General features: G+C 44.4%; 2 annotated features.

Annotated features, from left to right (window-relative positions):
- Positions 529 to 698: an enhancer, noted in NCBI's record as "experimental_99892 CRE fragment used in MPRA reporter constructs". NCBI's record gives its function as "activates a minimal promoter by MPRAs in K562 erythroleukemia cells, with activity observed for both the introgressed and non-introgressed 7:70318798 variant alleles {active_cell/tissue: K562}" and the evidence as "EXISTENCE:reporter gene assay evidence [ECO:0000049][PMID:34662402]".
- Positions 4956 to 5905: an enhancer, noted in NCBI's record as "OCT4-NANOG-H3K27ac hESC enhancer chr7:70323140-70324089 (GRCh37/hg19 assembly coordinates)". NCBI's record gives its function as "activates a minimal SCP1, AML or CMV promoter by ChIP-STARR-seq in primed H9 embryonic stem cells {active_cell/tissue: H9 hESC(primed)}" and the evidence as "EXISTENCE:reporter gene assay evidence [ECO:0000049][PMID:30033119]".

Here is an 8396-nt window from a genome sequence, read left to right on the forward strand (position 1 = left end):
CTGCCTCAGCCTCCCGAGTAGCTGGGACTACAGGCGAGTGCCACCACGCCCAGCCAATTTTTGTACTTTTAGTAGAGACGGTGTTTCACCATGTTGGCCAGGATGGTCTGGATCGCTTGACCTCGTGATCTGCCCGCCTCGGCCTCCCAAAGTGCTGGGATTACAGGCGTGAGCCACCACACCCAGCCCCCACAAATGTTAATGGCATCTAGAATGGTGAATACTTTCCAGAAAGGTGCTTTCATTTTCTTTGCCCAGATCTATTCAAGGAATCATTATCTGTGGCAGCTATAGCCTTATGATATGTATTCCTTAAATAGTAAGACTTGAAAGTTGAAATTACTCCGAGATCCACGGGCTGCAAAATGGATGTGTTAGCAGGCATGAAAACGACATTCAACTCTTTGTACATCTTCATCAGAGCTCTTGGGTTACCAAGTGCATTGTCAGTGGGCAATAGTATTTTTAAGGGAATCTTCTTTTCTGAGCAGTAGTTCTCAATAGGAGGCTTGAAGTGTTCAGTAAACCATGCTGTAAACAGATGTGCTGCCTTCCAGGCTTCTTTGTTCCATTTCTACAGCACAGGCAGAGTAGATTTAGCATCACTCTGAAGGACCCTAGAATTTGCAGCATGGTAAATGAGCACTGGCTTCAACTTGGAGTCACCAGCTGCATTAGCCCCCTGCTAGACAGTCAGACAGTCCTTTGAAGCTTTGAAGCCAGGCGTTGATTTCTTCTCTTTGTTTATGAAAGTTCTAGATGACATCATGTTCTAATCTCAAGCTGTTTTGTCTATATTGAAAATCTGTTGTTGAGTGTATCCACGTTCATCCATGAGTACAGCTAGAGCCTCTGGATAACTTGCTGCAGCTTCTCCATCAGCTCCCCCTTACACTTTTATGTGATGGAGACAGCTTCTTTCCTTAAACCTCATGAGCCAAGCTCTGCTAGCTTCAGACTTTTCTTCTACAGCTTCCTCGCCTCTTTCAGCCTTCCTAGAATTGAAGAGAATGAGGGACTTGCTCTGGATTGGATCTTGGTTCAGGGAATGTTGCGGCTGGTTTGATCTTCTATCCATACCACTAAAACTTTCTCCACACCAACAATACAGCTGCTTCACTTTCTTATTCATGTGTTTGCTGCAGTAGCAGTTTTAATTTCTTTCAAGAACTTTCCTTTGCAATTGCAACTTGTTTATCTGTTTGGTGCAAGAGGCCTGGCTTTCAGCTTGTCTTGACTTTTGGCCTGCCTTCCTCACTAAGCAGAATCATTTCTAGCTTTTGATGTGAAGTGGGAGATGTGTGACTCTTCCTTTCACTTGAACACTTTGATTAAACAAACAAACAAACAAACTTCAGCCGTATTAAATTTAAAGGTGTTCAATTGAGCAATGAACGATTTGTGAATTGGGCAGCCCCCAGAATCACAGCTGATTCACAGAGGCTGTAGCATAGCCACGTGGTGAAAGAAGATTTATAGAAAAAAAAAAAAGTACAGACATTGGCAACGAGGTACGGAAACAGCTGGATTGGTTACAGGTTGGCGTTTGCCTTATTTGAACACAGTGTGAACACTTAGCAGTCTACGAGTGGTTGAAGTATGGCTGCAGGGATTGGCCAAGACTCAGTTATTGTTACAGGTGCCAACTCCTGAATTAGGTTTCCCATCTCGCCTGACTATTAAGATAGGTTAGAGTTCATCCATAAGGACTCCAATATAGAAGTACGGAGTCCTTCTAGGGCCATATTTAGTTTGCTTTAACAACTTGGAGGACATTGTAAAGTTATTAGTTGGCCTAATTTCAATATTGCTGTGTCCCTGGGAATGGGGAGGCCCAAAGAAAGAGAGAGATGGGGAGCAGCTGGTCAGAGGAGCAGTCAGAACACGCATCAGTTCATTTCTCTACCTTGTAGGGTTTGTACTGCTCCAAAACAACTGCAACAGTAACATCTAAGATCACTCATCACAGATCACCATAACACATATAATCATAATGAAAAAGTTTGAAATACTGTGATGGTTACCAAAACGTGACCCAGAGATATGAAGTGAGCATGTGCTGTTGAAAAAACAGTGCCTAGAGCGTTGCTTGAGGCGGGATTGCCACAAACCTGCCATTCGTAAGGACAGTATATGCGAAGCTCAGTAAAGCCAAGTGCAATGACACGATCTGTGCTTGTACCACACAGTGGGTGGCTTGAAACAACAGACATGTGTTCTCTCACAGTCCTGGAGGTTAGAAGTCCAAAATCCAGGGGTCAGCAGGGCCCTGCTCTGTCTGTGACTCTAGGAGAATCCTTCTCTGCCTCTTCTGGGCTCCTGCTTGTGGCCAGCAATCTCTGTTACTCTGGCTGGTAGCTGTGTCACTCCAGTCCTGCCTGGGTTGCCAGATGGAGCTCTCCCTGTGTGCTTCTCTGTTTCTCTATTATAGGGACACTAGTCATATTGGAATAGAGGCCCATCCTGCTCTGGTGTGATCTCAACTTTCATTTATTTATTTATTTGCTTGTTTCTTTTCTTTTTTTTTTTTTGAGACGGAATTTCATTCCTGTTGCCCAGGCTGGAGTGCAATGGTGCCATCTCAGCTCACTGCAACCTCCACCTCTCGAGTTCAAGCGATTCTCCTGCCTCAGCCTCTCAAGTAGCTGGGACTATAGGGGCACGCTACCACACCTGGCTAATTTTTATATTTGAGTAGAGATGGGGTTTCGCCATGTTGGCCAGGCTGGTTTTGAACTCCTGACCTCAGGTGATCTGCTCGCCTCGCCCTCCCAAAGTGTTGGGATTACAGGTGTGAACCACCGTGCCCGGCCAGTTTCTTTGTTTTTGAGATAGGGTCTCACTCTGTCACCCAGGCTGGAGTGCAGTGGCACAATCATAGCTCATTGCAGCTTCAAACTCTTGGAGTCAGGCGATCCTCCTGCCTTGGCCTCTCCAGTAGCTGGGACTATGGGCATAAGCCACAATGCCCAGATAATTTTTTTTTTTTTTTTTTTTTTTGTAGAGGTGTGTCTTGCTATGTCGCCCAGGTTGGTCTTGAATTCCCGACTTCAAGCAATTGTCCTGCCTCTGCCTCCCAAAACACTGGGATTACAGGCATGAGTTGATTTACATCTTAATTACATCTGCAAAGTCTCTATTTCCAAATACTGTGTCAGTTACAGGTATGAAGACTTAGAATTTCAACTTGTCTTTTTGGAGGGCATGATTCAACCCACAGCAGATCACGAGGGGAAGGGGAGTCAGTGTGACTCTGCAGAAGATAGTGGTGTCAGCCCTTGAGGTCAGGAGTACACAGGGAGCCGGCTAGGGGGAAATGATGGGTTCCAGGTGGGGCATGTTGAGTCTGAGCTGCCGGTCCATGGAGCTTCTAGGGACAGAAGTCTAGGAGGTGGTCAGATGCATGGTCTAGAGTTCAGGGGAAAGTCAGGCTGGAGGTGTATGTTCCAAGTTCTTTGCATCTGGGTGGGTGGTAGTTAAAAATCAAAGGTGAGAAGCAGCCAGTGTAGCTGGGGAGTGCAGGAGGTCTCGAGGAGACAGAAAAACATCCCGGGGGCTGGGGGCAGCACCTGTAATCCCAGTAGTTTGTGAGGCGGAGGTGGGAGGATCGCTTGAGGGCAGGAGTTTGAAACCAGCCTGGCAACATAGCGAGACCCCGTCTCTACAAAAAAATTTTAAAAATAGCTGGGCGTGGTGGCACATAACTGTGGTCCCACCCACTTGGGAGGTTGGGGCAGGAGGATCGCTTGAGCCCAGGAGTTTCAGGCTGCAGTGAGCCATAATTGCACCACTGCCCTCCAGCCCAGGGCACAGAGTGAGACTCTGACTCAAAAACAAAACAACAGAAAACCCATAAAATTGTCCTGGAGGGAATCGCTAAGAACACCTGGAGAAAAACTGAACTCTGGCCACCAGGGGGCGCTCTGCACCAGCCCATTGGAACAATTTCCATAGGCAGCAGGTGGATAAACTTGATCAGTGAATTTAAGTTTTCTCTGTGCTCTTTTCCTGCAGCAATAGGCTTCTATGTACAAAAAGTACAATTGCAGGATTGGGTTACTGACTTGAGTGTATTTACAGAGTTATAGAAAAAGGCTGCTCAAATCTCTTTGAGGAGAATCAGTGATCTTGAGATTAGAATGGTTAAGAAAAGTTGGTTGTGGAGTTGGGAAGAGGAGATATATTTAGGCTACTCCAGGAAGAAACTCTTAGGGGGCGTATGAGCAGACAGATGACTGTTTCACTTCTCTGGAGAAATGTAAGACTCTAGATGCATTTTTTGGATTTCTAACAAGATGGTGAATGAACACAGACAACTGTCTTCCTCCAACATTTGGAGAAGTCACAGAAGGAAGAAGTGTTTTATGGATTTCAGAGTCTAATATAAAAAGAGGAGTCAGAGGAGTCAGAGGGTGGTTGGGCCCCACAGGGGAGGGAAAGGCAGCCACAGAGATTAGGGTGGGGGCCAGGGCTATTGGCCCCCCTACAGGTTAGCTAAAAAATTACTGTCACAAGGCTGATTGAGTTATCGGAGAAAGGCATACAAATTTATTTAATGTGTATACACGAGAGCCTTCAGTATGAAGATCCAGCTTCCCAATAGGTGGCAGAAGCTAATCTGCCATCTTGAAATTACAGAAAGAATCCAGACTCAGAATATGTCCAAAATAGGTTTTAGTGGCAAGACAGTTTATGGGAAGAAGAAAGGAAGAGGCTTGGCTCCAAAGGTGGCCTTGTTATGTAGATGAAGTCTCCCTCAGAGTGACTAGATAGTAAGTTTCTTTTCAAAGGTTTAAAGGTGTCAGATTCTCAATCACTCCTAGATCTAAAAAAGGCATAGAAAGGGGGACATGTGGCTATGTTAATGAAGATTCTCTACAGATGCAAATTTTCCCCACAAAGACAGCTTTGCAAGGCCAACTCTATTTGCTGGCTCTGCAGCAGCTATTTCAAGTTATGCCAAAGAAATATATTTTGGGGTAAAATATTTTTATTTTCTTCATTAGGTTGGGGTTGAGATCTTTGCTCATTTCCTTTCTCTTCCCATATTGCTTTCAGCATATTGCTCACCTCCTAGGAACTACCGCAGGGTAGAAAACAGCAGGGCCAGCCATCCCCTCATGACAACTAGAATGACAACTACAAGGATGAAGATGGTGGGGCCATGTCAACCTGTGACTCAGCCTGTGAGCCATCAACAGAGAATAAAACCCCCAACCTTATTCCCTGTTGATGGCTCGGAACTATGGTGGACTGCTGTGTGAGAGAGAAATAAGCTTCTATTGTGTTAAGTCACTTAATACATGTTTGAGTCTATCTGTTACACAGCTCAGCCTGTGCTAACCAATGCAAAACTCTAAGTTGTAAATCAAAATTAAGAATTTCTATTTAACGAAGAACTTACAGGCAGAGTTAACAGATTAAAAAATATATTTTTAACATTAAAAACAAACAAGGGATTAATAGTTATTCTAGGTAAGAAATTCCTTTCTAAATGGCATTTTTTTGTCAGAAAAAAAAGAATTTTACATAAGGTTGGAAAGAAATCCAACTAAAGCCTCCTAGAAATCCATTTGAGAAGTGGGCAAATGATAAGAATTCATTGAGGCAGAAATGCAAATGGCTAATGTGAACATGAAGAACTGCTCAACATCCCTAGTGATCACAGAATTTATAACATGAGTGAGATACTATTCACACCAATCAGATTTGGCAGATTTAGAAAGGTAGATAAAGCCAAGTGTTGGTGAGGATAGAGGAACTGGCAATTGATATGTATCCACTGTTGATGGGAGGATATCTTGATGCAGTGTTCAGGGGAGCACCCTGGTAGGAGTTACTGGAATTAAGAATGGGTAGACTGCATGCCCATCAACCCCACTGTATCTCTACAAGGGAGATCCATGTAACAATGTCATCATGGCATTGGTAGTTGAAGTGGGGAGGTAGAGAGAGCCAAATCCCCCTGTTATTAGAAAGGGGTCCTGATCCAGACCCCAAGAGAGGGTTGTTGGATCTTGCACAAGAAGGAAATCAAGGTGAATCCATACAGTAAAATGAAAGCAAGTTTATTAAGAAAGTAAAGGGATAAAGAATGGCTACTCCATAGGCAGAGCAGCCCCAAGGGCTGCTGGTTAACTATATTTAATGTTATCATTCTTTCTTGATTATACGCTAAACAAGGGGTGGTTTATTCATGAGTTTTCCTGGAAAGGGGTGGGCAGTTCCTGTAACTGAGGGTTCCTTCCCTTTTTAGACCATATAGGGTAACTTCTTGGTGTTGCCATGGCATTTGCAAACAGTCATGGCACTGCTGGGACTGTCTTTTGCGTGCTCATGCATTTTAATTAGCATATAATGAGCAATGAGGACAATCAGAGGTGACCTTAGTCGCCATGTTGGTTTTGACAGGATTTGGCTGGCTTCTTTACTGCAACTGTTTTATCAACAAGGTCTTTGCGACCTGTATCGTGTGCTGACCTCCCATCTCATCCTGTGACTTAGAATGCCTTAATTTCCCTGGAATGCAGCCCAGTAAGCTTCAGTCTTATTTACCCAGCTCTTATTCAAGATGGAGTAGCTCTGTTTCAAACAGCTCTGACACTCCTGACACAGGATTAATATATAGCACAGAACAATAAACCACGCTAAACGACAAGCAGCATTGAGTGAAACAGCACAACAAACAGAAGGAGATACTTACATAAACTGAAGATAAATGCATACACAAAACAGCAACACACACACACACACACACACACACACACACACACACACACACACACACAGAGGAACATATATCCAAAGATACATTAAACCCATCAGGATGGATGCTTCTGGTGGTGGGGTCTGGAGAGTGGGAGGGGAGTGAAGAGAGGCCACTGTCAGGCCTCTGAGCCCAAGCTAAGCCATCATATCCCCTGTGACCTGCACGTCTACATCCAGATCTCCTAAAGCAACTGAAGATCCACAAAAGAAGTGAAAATAGCCTTAACTGATGACATTCCACCATTGTGATTTGTTTCTTCCCCACCCTAACTGATCAATATACTTTGTAATCTCCCCCACCCTTAAGAAGGTTCTTTGTAATTCTCCCCACCCTTGAGAATGTACTTTGTGAGATCCATCCCCTGCCCGCAAAACATTGCTCCTAACTCCACTGCCTGTCCCAAAACCTATAAGAAGTAATGATAACCCACCACCCTTTGCTGACTCTCTTTTCGGACTCAGCCAGCCTGCACCCAGGTGAAATAAACAGCCTTGTTGCTCACACAAAGCCTGTTTGGTGATCTCTTCACACGGACTCGTGAGACAGCTACTATGTTACGTCAGAATGATTGCAAGCTGAGTGTTAGGATTGGCTTAACTTTCTGCACCCAATATCCTAAGGGAGGAAAAAACCGGACCCTCTAAGGGGAAATATTATCTGTAGGGCCTGATCCCATCATTGGACCCTTCACCCAACGCTGCTGAGTGAGTAGAGGGTTTATTTCATCCTTCCAATTTAGTGATTCAGTAGAGATTTCAAGACTCAAAGCTTAATTAACTCCATTTTAATTGAAGTCATCTTCTCAGTCATGGTGTCTGCACGCAGGACAATTCAGCTTGGCCTCCAAGTGCTTCAGTACAAGGCCCAATTTCTGGCTCAGCCATTAACCAGCCCCAAGTCAGGATAATCAGACAAGTCTTCAATTTGTGGGGATTTTATGGTTGGAATCAGGGTACTTTGACCTCTGGAAGGACAGACCTCTGAGGTGCAAGGATGTTTAATGGTTGCACAGAGAAGACAATCCTACAGAAAAGGCAGTAGTTGGGGCAGTGATTAGGACTCATTTTGGGGTGAGGGTGACAAGCACAGCGATCAACTAGCCTCACAGTCAGCTGTCTGCCTTTCCCGGATGGGTAACTGTCCCTTAATGGGAACTTCTTGTCTTCCAAGGAAGGCTAAGATAGGCAACTTGCTACAGTTTGCCTTAACATCAAAGCATGTCAAAAGGAGAACAATCCCAGTTTAAGAATCAGCCTGGGAGAAGGCAAGGAAGAATTTATAGTTTAGGACAAATTCAAGGACTGTAAATCATCTAATGTGAATATAGCACAGGGAGGTAGTTGGAGACAAGCTTGTCAAATAGGCTGAAGCCAGATTAGACAGGATTTTGGACTTTTTTTCTAGTAGTAGAGAGCCATGCTACTGAACTCTTTCTGAGAGAGGGATATTAGCTCACATGCTTTGGAAGGACAACTGACCACTCCAATCCTGGCTTCCCTTTGTTGTCATGGACTACAGGCCAGAATTCTATTTGGGAGTTGTGGCAGATTGTATTTTCCATAAATAGCTGCACCAATGCTTCCTGTCCATATGTTCTTCTCATTTTGATATTCCTCCTATCAAGAGT

Source organism: Homo sapiens, chromosome 7 (genome assembly GCF_000001405.40).
Source record: "Homo sapiens chromosome 7, GRCh38.p14 Primary Assembly".
Lineage (NCBI taxonomy): Eukaryota > Metazoa > Chordata > Mammalia > Primates > Hominidae > Homo > Homo sapiens.